The sequence below is a fragment of the Homo sapiens genome, chromosome 7 (genome assembly GCF_000001405.40).
Source record: "Homo sapiens chromosome 7, GRCh38.p14 Primary Assembly".
Classification (NCBI taxonomy): domain Eukaryota; kingdom Metazoa; phylum Chordata; class Mammalia; order Primates; family Hominidae; genus Homo; species Homo sapiens.
The window spans coordinates 29,094,582-29,113,096 of record NC_000007.14 but is presented as its reverse complement, the minus strand read 5'-3'; the positions used below and the strand labels follow the sequence as shown (position 1 = coordinate 29,113,096).

General features: G+C 44.4%; 1 protein-coding gene across 21 annotated transcripts in view; it reads left to right on the top strand.

Annotated features, from left to right (window-relative positions):
- Positions 1–18,515, top strand: part of CPVL (carboxypeptidase vitellogenic like) — a 200,816-nt gene that overhangs the window by 82,355 nt on the left and 99,946 nt on the right. For 20 of the 21 annotated variants that reach the window (NM_001371258.1, NM_001371256.1, NM_001371266.1 and 17 more), the window contains 3 exons: positions 275–393; positions 16,880–16,994; positions 17,955–18,013. In NM_001371258.1, coding sequence (NP_001358187.1) covers positions 275–393; positions 16,880–16,994; positions 17,955–18,013 — 293 coding nt within the window. The remainder of the gene's footprint in view (positions 1–274; positions 394–16,879; positions 16,995–17,954; positions 18,014–18,515) is intronic. The other variant, NM_001371268.1, reaches the window with a different exon arrangement.

Genomic DNA, 18,515 nt, shown 5'->3' with positions numbered 1-18,515 from the left:
AACTTAAAAAAAACCTTATTACAGCTTATAAAATATATTTGGGCACCCCTCCCCAAAGGCTTAAAACTTTCACATATCCTTGGCTAAATTGTGAACGTGGACTATGTGGGATTGGCCAGGGGCAGGCTGGAATTTGCTGAAGGAACTACCTGTCATACCAGTTCCCTTTTAGCTTATCTAATCACTCCATTTCATCCAGACTGAGATAGATGGCTCACATTTTTGTTGTTATTGTTTTCTGTAATCCTTGGGTAAATTTTTTTTCCCCCACTAGGAAGAGAATTGAGTTTGGTCGGCCCTTTCCCAGGACTGAACATGAAGAGTTATGCCGGCTTCCTCACCGTGAATAAGACTTACAACAGCAACCTCTTCTTCTGGTTCTTCCCAGCTCAGGTAGGTGCCCAACAGAAAGAACACCAGTGTTCAAGACCTGGCTTGCCGTTTGAGGGTAGAAATGTTAGCCTACCGAGCTACAGGTCTTTAAAAAAAAATCTCATAGATTTTTTCTAAAAATAAGATTTTTGTTTTTCTAAAAATAAGCAAACCTGCATGGTGTTCCTATTTATGGGCAGGAAACAAATGTTTTCTGCGGGAGTGGGAAGTGTCCAACTTCTAAATTTCTTGCAGCCTTATTTGGAGTGTTAATACTACCACCTTCTTCCTGCCACAGTCTTCTTCCTATCATTTTGTTGTATTTTTGTTCTAAAAATACTTAGGGCAGGGATGGGTCAGGGGAGCCCAAGGAGGATAGGAAGTAAGGAGATTCCTGAAGTGAACAGGTAATGCGTGGCTAAGTATGTTTATATCTAGTCAGCCATGGCCTTGTATAGCTGCGCTGTCTGTGGACTCCTTCATGCACTCAGTACCCACTTATTGAGCATATTCTGTTCTGTGGGGGCCACAGAGGAGACAGAACTGAACTCAGACTCTATGGATCTTTAGAAGATTGGGAGGATTGCCGATCTAGGAAGGCTTCTGGCAGGAAAGGCCATCACTTTCCCAAATCTCTATAGACAGAGGTGGGTATGTTTTTCTACTTCACCAATCCTATGTAGTTCACCTCTAGATTATGCCATTCTTCTGTATGAACAAGACATTTTTAGCTTAGAGGTGCTGTTGCGGGTATTGCTGGAAGCGCTGAGAAGCAAATCTTATTCCACTGCAGAGTAATTTTCTGTTTTCATCCTCCAAATTGGATTTGTTTTACAGGCTAGAGAAAGCAAAGAAAAAGCTATCCCTATGGAGGGTGTTATTTATATTTTCATGTGATTTGCATATAGCTGGGTTGCATCTGTAGTAACTGAGTAAATTGCTTGGTCCAGGGTGGTTTTCAAGTTACGTTGTTTCTCCTGGTACTATTGAGTTATATTTTCTTGACTTTTCTTTCCTGCTCTCTCAACTACATGGCCTCTGACATAGTTCACCCCAAAGCAGCCTGTGGTGGGATGTGGTCAGGTTGGGGCATGTAAGAAATGGTGAAAAATTCCAGATCCTTTGTCGTTGGGCTCACAGTAGCCGTCAGCCTGTCGTCTTTTCTGGAAGGCTTTCTTGGCCCCTAGAGAGGGCTTCTTATTTCTTCGTCAGTGTTGTGTTGAGTGAGGCAAGTGAGATGCCTAGAGCTTGCAATGCAAGGAGACACTCACCCTGAGGGTCATACAAGTGCAAGGTCAGCACTGGAGCCTGAGCACCCTCCAGTGTCTTGCTTGGTGCCTCCCATAGGTAGAGCCCAACTGGGAGCCAGGTGGAATCGGGTGGTCTAGCCCATAGGGGTCTGCCTAACAGGGCACAGAGCGGGATGGAGGAGAGTGATAATAGGCCTTCCCAGTCTCTTAAACTTTATGCCTTTCAGAAATATTCTGTATGTGTGCATTTTTTATATCATATCTATTGATGTCATTGAATGCAGTCATTTATCTGCAGTAACTTCTTTATATTAGTTTTCTCTTGCTGCTATAACAAATTGCCACAAACTTAATGTCTTAAAACAACGCACATTTTATTTCACAATTCTGCAGATTAGAAGTCTGACACAGGTCTCCCTGGGCTGAAATCAAGGACCAGTAGGGTTGTGGTACTTCTGGAGGCTCTAAGGGAGAATCTCTTTTCTTGCCTCTTGCAGTGTCTAGAGGCTGCTCGCATTCCTTGGCTTATGGTCCCTTCCTCCAGCTTCAAAGCCTGCAAAGGCAGCCTGAGTCCTTCTCACAGCACATAATCTCCATGGTCATGTTTCCTTCTCTGACTCTTGTCTTCTACCTCTGTCTTCTAAAAGGACTCTTATGATGACATTTGGGCCACCTGGATAATCCAGGATAATCTCCCTATTTTAAGGCCAGTTGATTAGCAACTTTAATTCCATCTGCAACCTGAATTCTCTTTTGCCCTCTAACCTAACATATTCTAGGAATTAAGACACTAACATCTTTAGGGAGTTATTATTCTGTACAAAATGGATACTTGAACATTTGCCTAGATTATTGAGTCTCGATATGTTTTCTCTCAGGGATTCTCACATGTTATTGCATACAAGAATTCTCTGACTTCCCCCAGAGATTCTGACTTGTAAATTGGCAGAAGCCAGCAGGTTGCAGAATTACCAAGTGAACCATTCTCTGTGAAACCACTCCAGCCTATGGGCCACTACCCTCTGCCTGAAGCTCCTGGCTGAAAAGTGACCAACACGCCTTTTACCAGAAAGAAATGCCTACAGCAGCCAAACCCAGACAGAGGTGATGTGTTTCCCATGTTGAGGGTTGAAATGAGGGGAGTGAAGAGACCTGTGCAGCCTGTGGAGGTTGGCTTCCCTAATCCAGCTTGCGGATTCTCTAAGAACTGTTAGGACTGCTTCCCCATCTTCTTTCCACTCTAGTCCTCCTCCCCCACTCTAGCTGGAGAACTCCAATTCCTTACTTTCCCTTCTGCTTTGTTACTTGTTTTTGACACCAGTCAGTTCCTTGTTACCCTCTGAATGTTGAGTCTTCTTTGGTAATGATCCAGATTTGTAAAAACAGGAACTAAGGGTGAGAGAAGAGATCAGATGGAAACAAAGCAAAAACCCAGTTTTTTTCTTTCTCAGGTTGCCTCTGGGCAGGTGAACAGCTATGTCTAGAATGTAGGTGGTGCTTTGGCACCGTAAACCTGTTCATGGAAAGGAATTTAGTTTGCATGCTCTACTGGTTGCCAGACTGAAGTCTGAAAACCCCCTTCATTAAACAATGACTGGACTGTTGGTTTTTGCTTTTTCCCCTTAATTAAATGAAAACCTAGCTGTGCATCCCCTGACCAGGTTATGTTCTTTTGAGTCCAGTACTGTAGCCATAAACACAACCTAAGATGATCCCAGGAGACACAACGGGAAAGAATGTCTTTAAGTGTACATGGTGTTCTGGTGAGAGTGATAGATGAAGCTTCGGGAGAAGAGGGGCAGAGATGAAAAAACGGTACCCACAGATGGGTACCACCATGTGGCAGCCAAGATAGATTGTTCCAAGAACCTCTTACCAGGAAGCCCACATGCAGAGCCAGATATCTGAGGCTTCTGGCTATAAATTATGGAGTCACACCAGTTTGGGTGAAGGAGATAAAGCAGGTGTGACAAGAAGAAGCAGTGGTCACTGAGACACATTTGGCAGAGATATTAGTTCATTGTCTGTCATAGGGAAGCAGCTGATATTGTCACCAGGGGAGAAATGACCCCTTTAAAAAACTGAAGGTAGAGAAAATAAGAGATCCAGGAAGGATGGCACACTTGTCATATCCTCTGAGTATTTTTTGGGGGGATGCTGTTTCTTAAATTAGTTTTGTTTTCCTGTTATTGCTGTGAGACTGCCCTGTTATTGTATACAAATCAGTGCAGAATAAATTCCAGAACTTGAAATTGGTGTGCAGTGGGAATACAACCTGCAAGAGAAAGGAGTAGGCATTTTGCATGGGATAAAAAGTATAAGGAAACTAGCAGAAATGTAGCAGTTATAGCTGCTGGTAATTGAACACTGACTATGTGCTAGGCACTGTGCATTTTCTTATCTAATCCTTACCTGAACCCCATGAGGAAGGAATTGTTATCCTCATTTTATAGATGAAGAGATTAAATAATCAGCCCCAAGTTACTCAACTAGAAATTGGCAGAACTGGAATATAAAATTAGGCCTCCGATGTGGAAATCCTTGAGCTTGGCCGTCATGTGTTAGATCCAGAGAAAACGAGTCATGGAAGGCACTTGAGTATAGTGGCCAAGACTACAGTCTCTTCGGTAAGTCAGGCTTGGATAGAAATCTTGGCTTCGCTGCTTAAGCTAAAGGTGACCTTGGGGAATTTCTTAGTGTCTCTGAGCACTGGTTTCCTCATTTTAAAATGGGGACCAAAATACCTACTTGGCAATGGTTTTGAGACAGAAGAGATAATAAGGGAAAGCATTAGAGTGGCACCTAAAACATAGTAACTATAGTTGCTATTGTCATTATTTCATTATGATTACGATTATTATGGTTATTATTACTTTTAAAATTATTAACACAAATAATGTCAAGAACTAAACCAGTCACAATTTGAGAGGTTACAGATGACAGCAAATAGAGGGAAATTGTAAATTAGAAGGACCTGAACCCCAGCCATCAAGGTGGATTAATTGCTACCAGGTCAGGAAATTACTAAGTGAAATTGGGATTTTTTTGCACTGAAGAAGATAAAAAAGACATAGAGATTATTACTCTTTAAAGTCAGCATCCTTCTCATTGGAAAAAAAATAGCTAGTATTGGACTTTGCCTTATAGATGTAGGAACATAGATAATTCATTGGACACATTTAGCCAAAACCTGCAGATCAGTTACCTCAAATGCCATGGAGCCAAAACCTGGGGCATTTAGAGTCAGGCCTAGGCCCCTTCACGGAGGACCCCACCTTGATCCTCAGGCCAAGAGGAAAGGCCCAGATTCCTGGATTTGAGAATCTAGTGTCTATGAAAGATCAGGATTACACTGCTGAGGCCCGTGAGGTGCTGGGGCAACCTACAGGAAGGGCTCCCTCTCAGGATCCTGCAGGCTGGGCCCTGCTGAATCAGATACTAGGATGATCAGATAGCACAATCAGCAGTCAATTGGAGAGAAAATGAACCGCTCTAATGCTCCTGGTCCAAAACAAAAGGCGTTCTCTCTGGCAGTAGAAGAGCATGTCCCAGAGGTGCCTGGAAGCCAACAGAACAGCCCTTCCTGGGGGTGAAGGCGTGGAATCAGGCCCCACCATACTTCAGCATGGTGCCATGTACACTCCCTCATCTGCACATCTGAACTTCTCCAGTAACACAGTTAATGTGGAAGAGGACAGGAATTCCCAAATGTGCTACTGCTCACCAGAAATACCTGGAGAGCTTTGGAAATATGACAGATCTCCCAGCTCATTGTCTAGCTGCACCCAGCAGAGATTCTGATTCTGCAGATCTGGAGAGGGCCCAGGGATCAGTGTTTGTAATGTGCTCCACAGTGGTCCCAGTGCAGCCAGTCAATGGGCTGGAATTTGGGAAAAGAGATCTAGAGGTTTGGATACAGGGATTCTAATTCCAAGTCTGCGATTCCCGGCTGTATAACTTGGGAGATGGCATTCGTATTCTCTGGGCCTCAGTTCTCTCATTTAGAAATAAAGATGTTAAACCTAGTGGATTGCTAAGGCTCCATCCCAGCATTACATTCTGTGGTTCTATAGTTAAGTATAAAAATATCCAGTAACTCCAAATCAGGATGTGGATTGAATGAAGGAGCCCTTGAACGTGTGGCCTGTGTGGTAGCCAGCCTTCAGGCTAGTTCCCAGTGCTCTTCATTCATCCCTTGGTGTATGTGCCCTTGGGCAGTCCCCTCCCATACTGAATCAAGGCTGGCTTTGTGACCAACATGCTAGCAGAAATGATGATGTTTGACTTCCACGGCTACCTTATAAAGGGCAATATTACTTGTGCCTTGGTCTCTTGAATCTTTCAGTCTGAGGAAAGGATGCCATGTTGGGAGGGCACTCAAACAGCCCCATGGCTGAGCCTCTGTGGAGAGGAAGTGAGGCCTCCACCCTCCAGTGGGTACCAACCTTGGAAGAGGTTCATCTAGTACCAGTCAATCCTTCTGATGACTGCAGCTCTGGCTGATTCCTTGACCACAGTTTATGGGAGACCCTGTGCCAGAACTGCCCAGCCAGACACCCTCAAATTTCTGACCCACAGGAATCCCGAGAGATCAAAAATTATTATTGTTGTCTTAAGCCATTAAGTTTTGGAGAGATGTTGTGCGGCATTAGATAACTAACATAGCTTCTTGTCTTGTACTTCTAGGCTGTGGCTGTGAGATCTTGTGACAACTAGCATATACTCCCTGCCTGGGGGAAGGATGAGGACATAAGGAGTGGGGATTACTATGCGAGCTACTTTTAATTTTTGTTTTTTTTTGCCTCTCAGCTCCAATTCTACCCTCTTCCCTGTTCTGCCATAGTAGAGCTCTCAGCATTTCTCCTTTGCAGCAAGCACAATATTAAGCTTTGTCAGTAGAGGGTGCTGGAGAGACATTGCAGGAGGAATTTGTCTTCTCTTTCTGTGCCTATGTCCTGCCTTTGGCTTTTTCTTGGCCCCACTGCCTAGTCTGTCAGCAGTGTGTTGAGGTGGGGGGTGGGGACATCCAGTGACACTCTGCCTTAGCTATGCACCCAGACCACCAAGACTCTTAGCAAGATGATATCCCTGGCTCTGTCCAGGTGATCACCTGGCTGTGGCCCTCCCAGTATGAACACAATATACCCTAGGCCTTGCCGGTGAGCAGGCTCCCTACAGCCCTGCTCTCTCTGCAGCCCTCTCACTAGCCTTGGCCATTTGCACCCCAGAGGGTCGTTCCCTTGTCCCTCCCAGTGTGGACACCGTGTGCTCCAGGCTGTGTGCAACCTTTCAGGCAAGCAGGCTCCCAGCCTCCTGAGTCTCTCTGTGTCCACCTGCCAGTCACAGCCCACCTGTTCCTATTTACCCAAGGATGGTTGACCAGCTTTGGACCAGGGTACTCAGTGAACTTCTCAGCTACTCAGAAGGCTGCAACCATACCTTCTCCACCGAGGTCTGGACAGCAGCCTTGGGAAGGGTCCCCTCCCTAACTTATGGGCTTGTCCATCTGTGAGCACTCTCCCTAGCCCAGGGCATTCTTTGGAATTCTCTTTGTATATGTATGTTTAGTTCTCTGTAATAATGAATACTTCTAGGTATTAACATTTCCTTGTTCCTTAGTGGACATAGGAAGCCTACCCAGCATTCTGGTCTTTGGCCAACACTGAGGATGTGGCTGTGGGAGAACAGGCCCCTCTGGTGTTTCATCTTCACTTTTGCCCAAGGGTGTCTGTGATACCCATGGCTGGCTGGGGCCAGAGTAAACACTGGAACTTGTAACAGAATTAAAGGTGAATGTTTCCAAGTAAAAAAATAAATTAAATAAAAAATTAAAATGACTCTGTGGTTTTTGACTTCTGATTGGGCCTTAACTGATGCAGGTACCATTCTAAATCTTTCTCCAGCCCTGAGACACCAAGGGCTGGACATGTGGTCTGGCCTAAGGAACGAGTAATAGAAAAGCCTCGGGAGGAAAGGCAGTCAGTCTTTCTGTCTCAGCCCTATTCTGTCTGAGACCACAGGATTCCCTCATCTGTGCTTCATTCTTCTCCCTTGACAGATCAACATGCTTTGCTTCTCCAGGCACTCGGCCAAGTATGGCCAACCTTTCATTTCCAAGTTTACCTGTCCTTGCATCATGTAGCCAGCAGAGATTAACTAGCACCCATGGCTGCCACAGTCTGGATCACGTCTTCTTCCTTGGTCCAGTCAGCTGAGACTGAAGGTGCTGGGTATTAGCCATGATATAAACATGGCTAGCAGGCTAGCCATGGATGAATGGAGACTCATTTCTTAGAGAAGGGGACATGGACTGGACAGATTTATTAAAATATATCTCAAAATGTATCTAACACAGGTGGATACAAATCCACCAGCAGTGCAACAAAGATTTGGAGATCACAGATAATTGTCTTCTTCAAACTGACTCTATTTATCTTCTCTTTGCTACGTACTTAATGGCATCAGAGATATAGAAGAATAGAGGGTGTCAGAGACAAAATAAAAAGAAAGTAGCTTAAGGTGATGTTATAGATCACCACCCATAGGTATAGGTATATTTGAACACTCTGCAGAAACTTTTGCATGCCTGATTTCCTTTGTGGAAATGAAATAACATAGAGAGAAAGTAACTAACTTTTGCATCAAGAAGGGAAAGTAAGGTGTCTTCTCCACACCTCCCTGCATCCGCCCACTTCCCTATTCCTTATAAAGTATAACTTTCTGGCAGGAGGCACAAAGAGAATAGCCATAACTATCTCATGAAGGAATGAGCCAGGTAGAAAGGTTAGGAAGGAGAAAGTTAGGATTCTAATGGGGTGTAAGCTGGTACAAATCAATGAGACAAGCCAAAACTTGATGAGAGTCAGGAGCTTCGGAATGATGCAAGAAGGCCTCAAAACAAAAAAAGATTTTGAGGCTGGGTGCAGTGGCTCATGCCTATAATCCCAGTACGTTGGGAGGCCAAAGCAGGTGGATCACTTGAGGTCAGAAGTTCGAGACCAGCCTGGCCAACATGGTGCAACCCCGTCTCTAATAAAAATACAAAAATTAGCCAGGGGCTGTGGCAGGTACCTGTAATCCCAGCCACTCCAGAGGCTGAGGCAGGAGAATCGCTTGCACTGGGAAGGTGGAGGTTGCAGTGAGCCAAGTCGTGCCATTGCACTCCAGCCTGGGTAACAAGAGTGAGACTCCATCTCAAAAACAAAAAACAAAAAAGATTTTGAAAAAATTAATTTTCTGTATGATGGTGCCATGGCAGCAGTCATAGTAAAGGAAGATTTGGTGAGTAGTCAACACCAACCACTTGAAATAAAATTTCTTTGAAAAACATGAATGTCTTTAGCAACTTGTGTGTATGTGTTGAGTGTGTGTGTGTAGAATTAAAATGTTATGTACCTATTTAACAATTCTAGTCACAAAATTAATTGCTTTAAATAAAAAGCTCTGCCTTGATTAATACCATTAGTGTAGCAGCTAAAGTATTAGCTGAACTGGGATCTGTATGGCAAAATGGGAGTCCATTTAAACATACTTGTGGGAATTTAAAGACATTTACTTGGGGTACTAATGACTTCAATTAAGGTAGAACACATTACTTAAACCAAGCAAATGATCAGCCTCTGCATATAGAAGTGTGAAGAGGGCCTTAATTAATTTACTAATTGCACTTCTCATCTTAAGCAGTGCCATTGATTTGGATCTGTTAGTGGTTTAGTTGCTGTTTTCTCTAACCAAGCGTGGCATTCCTTATTGGAGATAGGAAGAAAGGGGTGCTAGGGATATGTAACCAGTCCTGAAGATTGGCAGATGCCTGTCTACTTTAAGTGACTTTCCGGTCCAAAATGTTGCCCTAACACTTGTTGAGATTCCTAAAATTTCCAAGGGTCACTCCAATAAAGTCCTCTTATAAAACACAATCATGAGGCTGGGTGTGGTGGCTCATGCCTGTAATCCCAGCACTTTGGGAGGCCGAGGCAGGCAGATCATGAGGTTAAGAGTTCGAGACCAGCCTCACCAACATGGTGAAACCCCATCTCTACTAAAAATACAAAAAAAAAAAAAAATAGCTGAGCATGGTGGTGCACACCTCTAATCCCAGCTACTCAGGAGGCTGAGGCAGGATAATCACTTGAACCTGGGAGGTGGAGGTTGCAGTGAACTGAGATCACGCTATTGCACTCCAGCATGGGCGACAGAGCAAGCCTCCATCTCAAAAAAAAAAAAAAACAAAACAACAATTATGTTTCTTAAAAGTACTGAAATTGGCAAGTTTTTAGCACCCCCCCCCCCCCCCCAGTATATTAACTTACTGTTTCAGTGATAGGCATATGGTCTGAGCAGAAGGTTATCTCTATTCTCTCTTTCTCTCTGATGCAAAGGAGGGCCTGGGGGATAAGGGCTGATGGAAGATGAGGGTGGAAAGGAAGACTCAGGGCAAAGGTGATGCTGTCCAGGGAGGGTATATCAATCTGGGGAACAATAGGGCAGACAGGATTTAGTACTAGTTTTGTTTCAATGAGTTTCACTTTCTTTGAATGACATTCCATTAAGACATGGAGTAGATTTTTCATCATCATTGTGAATAAGCAATGGAATTTGCTAATGTGAGAAATTGTGAAATTCCTTTTTGTAGAGATTCTGGCAGAATAGATAACTTCTCTCTTTCTGGGCCGTTCCTTCTGGAAGAAACCCTGAGGAAAGAGTGTCCAAGTTCATGGGTTGGTCACCAGGGGTCGCCAGAAGAATCGAAAGGGCTTCTGAGGCAAAGCCATAGTTGCTTCTTGTGCTCCAATAAAGGGCCCAGGTTTGTGGGACCCGCGGGCCGACCCTCTTCTGTTGCTAGGGAGACTTCTCACTTAAGTATTTAGGATTCCTTTGTTCTTTCTTTAATATTTAGAACTTTTTTGTCCGTTCCCTTTTAATCATCAGTTCTTGCTGCAGGACTTTGACCTTTAAGTCATTAGTAGAGGTTTTATTTTCTTCTTAAATATGTAGTATGAGGGAATTACTCATATTTTAGATCTCAGCTCAAATGTTACCCTACCACCAGAGGCCTTCTTTAAGTACTTAATCTAGTGTCTCTCCATTCCTCTTTCATATCACTCATTTATTTAGTTGCTTGTTTACTGTCTTCCCACACCAGCAGAAAAATCATCAGAGCTGACACTTAAATAGATGTGCCAGGCACTGTTCTCAGTGCTGTGCATATATCGACTCTAAAACTGCATGAAAACCTTAGGAGACAGACATTAATAGTATCCATATTTTCAATCAGAGGACGCTGAAACACAGAGGAGTTAAGTAACTTGCCCAAGGTCACAGAGCTACAAAATAGCATAGCTGGAATTCAAACCTTGGCATTCTGGCTCCAGAATCCATGCTCGTAACTATAAAGTATTCTGCCTGCTCATGGGTAGGAGTTGGTCTGCATCCACAGCCTTAGACAATCCCTGTGAGTAGTTGGCGTTGTATGTTAAATGAATTAATACATTGTGGTAAATTCGTAGAGTGCATACTGTTGAGCAAAATAATGATATGTATTGATATAAAGAGATCTTCACAACATATTGTTAAGTGAATAAGCATATATAGAGTATAGCCTGGTTCTATTTTTGGAAAAAAAACGTGTGTATGTATATTGCATATATAATAGCTATAGGATATGTCTATATGTGTATGTGTAGAGGAGGACCATAGAGAAAAATCTGGAAGGGTAAACATAAGCATCTCCATGATCATCTCTAGGAAGTAGAATTTGTCGGGGAAGAGGGGCTGTTAAAAATACCTTCACTGAAGAAAAAAAAAAACCTTTAGTTAAGAATAAGTACTGTTTTTATAATAGAAAAAGTTTTAAGAAAAATTTTAAAGCTTTTTTTGTTTTGAGACGGAGTCTCGCTCTGTCGCCCAGGCTGGAGTGCAGTGGCGCTATTTTGGCTCACTGCAAGCTCCGCCTCCCGGGTTCACGCCATTCTTCTGCCTCAGCCTCCCAAGTAACTGGGACTACAGGCGCCCGCCACCACGCCCAGCTAATTTTTTGTATTTAGAGACGGGGTTTCACCGTGTTAGCAAGGATGGTTTCGATCTCCTGACCTCGTGATCCACCCGCCTCAGCCTCCCAAAGTGCTGGGATTATAGGCATGAGCCACCGCGCCCAGCCACATTTTAAAGCTTTTGAAAAAAATAAATGCATTAATTGTCTTGCTTCATACACTCTTGAATTACAACTTCAATATGGTAAATGTTTTTAAATTCCTGAATTTTGTAATGCTGTAAATGAACTAAAGTGGTCATTTCTTCATTCGGTCTTAAGTATTGCAATGTGGTTTTGTTCAGGAAGTCTTTTATTCTTTCCAAAGTTGAGAGTTGGCTAAAGGCTGCATTCTCACAATTGACAGCTGAATATATCACCCTAAGGATTGTCACATAATAACCTCATGCCATTACTGTGGACATAATTAATATTATACTGCATATCATGACATTTGATGCCATATTATATTACAAAAGTCTGCATGCTGTGACACAACTGACTCTTGGGGTTTTGGCATTGAACACATATACTTTTATTTTCCAGATCTGACTTTTATGTTTTATTACAGATAAGGGTGACATTAGTTCACAGGTTGGTTGGCCCATCAAAGTAGAAAGATGTATGTGTGGGCTTTTCTTTAAAAACAGGCTTCTTCCAGGGTTATTGAGCCTCATTCACCTCCTCCAGGAAAGTAAATCAGGAGCAAGGTCAGCTGAGGCTGGAGGTGTGTACACAGATCTTGTTATTTAAGCATTCCAAGAATGCAGTGTCCTGTGCTTCAAAGTTGCATAATAAAGATATTTGGCACTGAGGTGTTTGACTTGACTTTGTAGTGTGGGCTCTCAGGGTCAGGCTATTTTTCTGAGTCCAGAGGTCCGGTTCATTGTGCCAGGTCACAGGAAGGGACATGGAAGGCCAAGGGAGGATAGGGTGGAGGATAGGGGAGGACAGGCTGGAGACCAGAGGCCTGAGATATTTAGAGGGCAAACTCTCCATCCACCTTCAGACCCTTGGCGCCGCCTGCACATTAGAACCACCTGGGAGCTTTTGAGAAAGACTGATGAGGCCTCCTCCCCACAGACCAATGGAATTGGAATCTCTGGGATTTGGGCCTAGGCAGTAGTATAAAAATACTACTCTCCAAAAGAGAAAAGCTCTCCAAAATGTTTTAATGAGCACATTGCAGCTTCTGGGAGTTCACATGTAGTTTAGGAAGGAAGTGGGGCTGGATATCCGCTGGAATCAGTTGGACTCGCAGCATCTCACACTCCCTGGGAGGCTGGGAAGAGCAGGGGCTACCTTCCACCCAGATCCCATTGTTTTTCTACCTCTCATATGTGTAATTTGCTCCTACTGCTGAGTGAATACAAGTGGAAGGCAGTACTGGTGAGTGGATCTGAGAGGAGATAAAAATCACTTATTTAAACAAAACACAGCTCCACAGGCAGGTTGGGGCAGAGCTGGTTATTTTTATTCAGCACATTGGAGTTTACAGCATCATTTCATGTACATTTGCTCCTCAGAGCCTTCAGGCAATCCTGTGAGGCAGGCATTATGGTCATTTGACAGACGAGGAAACTGAGGGCCAGGATGGCACAGCTGTTATGTGGCCAACTGGAACCACAGCCTGTCTGGCTCCCAATTCCACGGCTCACTCTGCTTCCAAGCAGCAGCTTAAAAAGGCTGTCATTGATTTTCATTTTTTCTGCTTTGACTTATTATTATTATTATTTGAGACAGAATCTTGTTCTGTTGCCCAGGCTGAAGTGTAGTGGCATGATCTCGGCTCACTGCAACCTCTGCCTCCCAGGTTCAGGTGATTCTCCTGCCTCAGCCTCTAAAGTAGCTAGGATTACAGGCATCTGCCACCATGCCCAGCTAATTTTTGTATTTTTAGTAGAGATGCGGTTTCACCATATTGGCCAGGCTGGTCTCGAACTCCTGACCTCAGGTGATCTTGCTGCCTCGGCCTCCCAAAGTGCTGGGATCATAGGCATGCGCCACCATACCCAGCCTCTGCTTTGACTTATAAAACAAAACCCTCATTCTGTTGACTTGTTCATAGACATTTGAACACTTGAGGCAGGGGGAATAACTAGTAAAACTGATCAGGGAAGTTGTGGGCTACAGGAGCGAGAATAAAACCACCACACAGCCCACTTTCCTATTCTGTCATTTACAGATAGATTGTGTTCAAGCCATCTACAAATTCCTCGTGATTATCTATTATAGCAATAGCTAATATTTGGAGAACACATACTATACAGCTGAGGTTTATGAAAAGGAATTCATTTAATCCTCCCAGCAAGCATACAGTGTAGCTACTATTATTGATCTTTTTTCAATTTTTATTTTATTTATTATTATTATTATTTTTTTGAGACGGAGTTTCACTCTTGTTGCCCAGGCTGGAGTGCAATGGCGCAATCTTGGCTCACCGCAATGACCGCCTCCTGGGTTCAAGCGATTCTCCTGCCTTAGCCTCCCAAGTAGCTGGTATTACAGACACGTGCCACTAGGCCCAGCTAATTTTTTTGTATTTTTAGTAGAGATGGGGTTTCTCCATGTTGGTCAGGCTGGTCTCGAACTCTTGACCTCTGGTGATCCGCCCGCCTCGACCTCCCAAAGTGCTGGGATTACAGGCACGAGCCACCGTGCCTGGCCTATTGATCCCATTTTTATAGGTGGGGAAACTGAGATCCAGAGAGCTTAGGCAACTTGCCAAAAGTTACACACTGGTGGGTAGTAAAGCCTAGATTTGAATTCAAACAGTTTGGGGCAAGAGCTTCCATGCTTATTTGTTATATAATACCGCGCTGACCCCTGGAGCTTCAGGCTGCTCATCAGAGGCCTCAGTCGGACTCTTGGCTTCTACCATTTCTACCTGTTTCCTTAGTCATAATAATCATTTATATTTATTGTGCTTTTATCATACATTAGGCATTGTTCGAAGGGCTTTAATTATGTTGCTTAATTTGTTAACACTCAAGAATGAGCCCGAGAGGTGGCGCCTCATAGGAGGGGTGTGCCCCAGCTCATGGCCATTCTTCCCAGCACCTATCTTGTAGCAGGTCCCCCTGGGCCCCTTTCCAAAGCCGTGAAGGACTCTATCAGGCTCTTGGTGACTGGGAAAGTTCCTCTGTGCCCTCTGTGGCCATGGTTAGAACTCTGCTCAGCTCTTCCTGCAGGTCTTGGCGGTGGCATCCCAGTCACCTTCTCTTGAGTCAGTCTTGCCTTCTGCCTCAGCCTTCTCCCGCCATCCAGGTCAATGGAACGCATCCACTCAGACCTTCCAACAACACCTTGATTTGTCTGTATAGCCAGGCCAAGTCAGAGGTGGTGGGATTTTATTCTGGGCTGAAGCCAGGGGATCCTTGCTGACTAACCATCCAACGAGCCATGCCATCATGCAAGGGCCCACTGTTAGGTCCTGCTAGAAGCCAAGCAGGGGAGCCAAGTAGAGCTTTTTCAGGTGGTTCTGGGGGATTCGCCTGGCGACTGTGCCTTCCTCCCTTTCTAAGTCTGTTCTGGTGAGAGGGTTTCCCTTGTCATTTCCCTTGTGCACAGCTCTGCTGTCTGGCTCTGCTCCTGGCTGGATCCTTCTCAGCTTTCAGGGCTCAGGGCAGCGCTCAGACCTCATTGAAGCCTTCGCTAATCACCTTCTCCTTTTCAGCCTCCAATGACTCTTAAATCACCCATATTTCCTTTTCACACTCTCCAATCATTGTCTTTAATTATTTATTTATTTGAGACAGAGTTTCACTCTTGTTGCCCAGGCTTGAGTACAGTGGTGCTATCTCAGCTCACTGCAACCTCTGCCTCCCTGGTTCAAGGGATTCTTCTGCCTCAGCCTCCCAAGTAGCTGGGATTACAGGTACCCGCCATCACGCCCAGCTAATTTTTTGTATTTTTAGTGGAGATGGGGTTTTGCCATGTTGGTCAGGCTAGTCTTGAACTCCCGAACTAAGGTGATCCACCCGCCTTGGCCTCCCAAAGTGCTGGGATTACAGGCATGAGTCACCGCTCCCAGCCTTGTCTTTATTTCTTACTTACTGCCTATATTGCCCATGCAATTCTAAGTTCCAAGAGGACATGCGTTTTCTTCTTCACTCAGTGTTCTGTGTACTTAGCTCCCGGCGCTATGCCTGGCCCATAATGGGTGCTCAATAAATACACATTGAATGAAATAGTTGAAAAGGTCTCTGTCATTGAAGGTGATGGTATTGACACTACGGCCAGTAGCTCATTTTCAACATCACCGCCCTGCCAATACCCTTTTCTAGTTTATGTCTCCCACATCTCCTAAATAAATCTGTACCTTGTTCAGGGTTTTGTCGTTGTTATTTGCGTTGGCTAAAGGCCCCTGGGGCTGTCTGCTCCTCCTCATTTTTCCACCATGTTGAATGAAGTTGTCCTGGTCCCTATGGACACATTCTTTTTTTTTTTTTTTTTTTTTTTTTGAGACAGAGTCTCGCTCTGTCACCCAGGCTGGAGTGCAGTGGTGCAATCTTGGCTCACTGCAACCTCCGTCTCCAGGGTTTGAGCGAGTCTCCTGTCTCTGCCTCCCAAGTAGCTCGGATTACAGGCATGTGCCACCACGCCTGGCTAACTTTTTGTATTTTTAGTAGAGACAGGGTTTCACTATGTTGGCCAGGCTGGTCTTGAACTCCTGACCCCAGGTGATCTGCCTGCCTCGGCCTCCCAAAGTGCTGGGATTACAGGCGTGAGCCACCGCGACCAGCTGTGAACACGTTCTTAGTGAGTAAAATCAGAAAGGCGTTTGGGCTCTCAGTGCAGAAGGGAAGGTGTCACTGAGAATGGATTCTTTGTTGTGCCTCTGTTGGGAATATGTGTGTTAAATGGAAGAGTCCCAAATTTTAGTTTAAACAGCTAAAAATATATAACCATGCCCCAGGCAGTATGCTAGATGTCTGGCAGCATGCACAAGCCAAGCATCTACATTTAAGGAGCTTTCTGTCTCTTGTTGGGAAAAGACTTGACTGCATGATAAGAAGACACCAGCATATGAGGCACAGCCTCATTCAAAGAACCAAAGATGATCAGTACTTTGCTCATAGTGGAGAGTGGTTACTGAGGTCTGGGGAGGTTTTGTAGGATTTAGTCACAGCCCTGTAACACAGAGAGGATTTGGGTAAGTTTGCTTGTGTGTGTTCTGTAGCCTTAAGTGAGTGTTCTGTGTGGTCACTGGTTTTACTGTTTCCTCTAGATACAGCCAGAAGATGCCCCAGTAGTTCTCTGGCTACAGGGTGGGCCGGGAGGTTCATCCATGTTTGGACTCTTTGTGGAACATGGGCCTTATGTTGTCACAAGTAACATGACCTGTAAGTATCCCTTGCACTGTATTTCCTATAGAATCTTTCATCTGAGCCTCATACCTGCTCCAAAACTAATTTAGAGTAAACACTGAACCACTATGAATAGCTTAACCGTTCCAGATTATCAAAACACAACTTTCTGGCAATATCCATCCGAGAAGGAGGAGCCTCGGGGTGAGTGTCCTGACTGGGCTGCTTTCTCCCTTGAAATTTGGGTGAAAAGTTCTAATCCGCTTTCTTGCAGTCTGCTGCTGACTCAAGCATTCTGGGTTTGCAAAACAGTTGGTATTTATTACTATTTGGGACAGCTCTTTGCAGTGGACTAATGGGTGGAATTATATTCTTAATTACTCACATGAACTAAACACTTTATGGTTCAGTCACACTCATTATCTGATAACTTGGAAGCAAGACGCTATTCCCGGTGGGGGCTGAGGCGGAGGAAGGATAAAGAAAGAGCAACATCTGGCTGTCACTAAGTTTACCTTCATCTCATTTTGTTTTTTTTTTTTTTTAATTTTGTTTACTTCCCCTGGGTCAGAATTTGGAGTGTGAGCCAGTTTGTGACTCAGTATAAAGGCTTATGTGCCAGTTTTGTTGAAGTAGTTCTGTTCAAGAGATGGAGCATTAAGGATGATTGATTTAATTGGACATATGGATATTATTGCAGAGGTGGTTGGTGGGTGTTTTTTCATGAACCAGCTTTGTTCCAAGCTTTTGCTGGGTTTTGTTTCCAAGCTTTATCTCAGGTGTAGAAACACTCTGGGCTGGGGGAAAGTAAAGGAGAGGAGTGGGGAGGGTAAAGGTGCAGGTGCCTGTTCCCCACCATGAGAGTGTGCAGCACTGTTAGAGGGTACGCCAACAGCTCATGAGGACCGTGGGGTGTGTTGGGCTTCTGACCACCATGAGGCCTCGGTGGAATGCTTGTCCACGACTCTATCTCACCCCTCTTCTTTGTTTTCACAGTGCGTGACAGAGACTTCCCCTGGACCACAACGCTCTCCATGCTTTACATTGACAATCCAGTAAGTCCGGGATGACCCTGTGAGCTGTCAGTGCTGGCGTCTCCTGTCTTTTATTTTTTCCTTTTTATTAAGTACATTTAAAAAATAGATTTCGTTTTTCCTTTTGAAAATAGAATTTAATCTGTAAAATTAAAACCATTTTGAGATTTAGTTTTTCTGTTAACATGTATAATCATATCGGAGTTTGGCAATTTTCCTTGCTGCCTTCTCTCATTTCCTCATTTTTTTTTTTTCTATTGAGATGGAGTCTCGCTCTGTCGCCCAGGCTGGCAGCTCACTGCAACCTCCGCCTCCCCGGTTCAACCTGGTTCTCCTGCCTCAGCCTCCCAAGTAGCTGGGATTACAGGCGTGTGCCACCACACCTGGCTGATTTTTGTATTTTTAGTAGAGATGGGAGCGTGGGGTGGGGGGTGTTCACCATGTTAGCCAGTCTGGTCTCAAACTCCTGACCTTAGGTGATCCACCTGCCTTGGCCTCCCAAAATGATAGGATTACAGGTGTG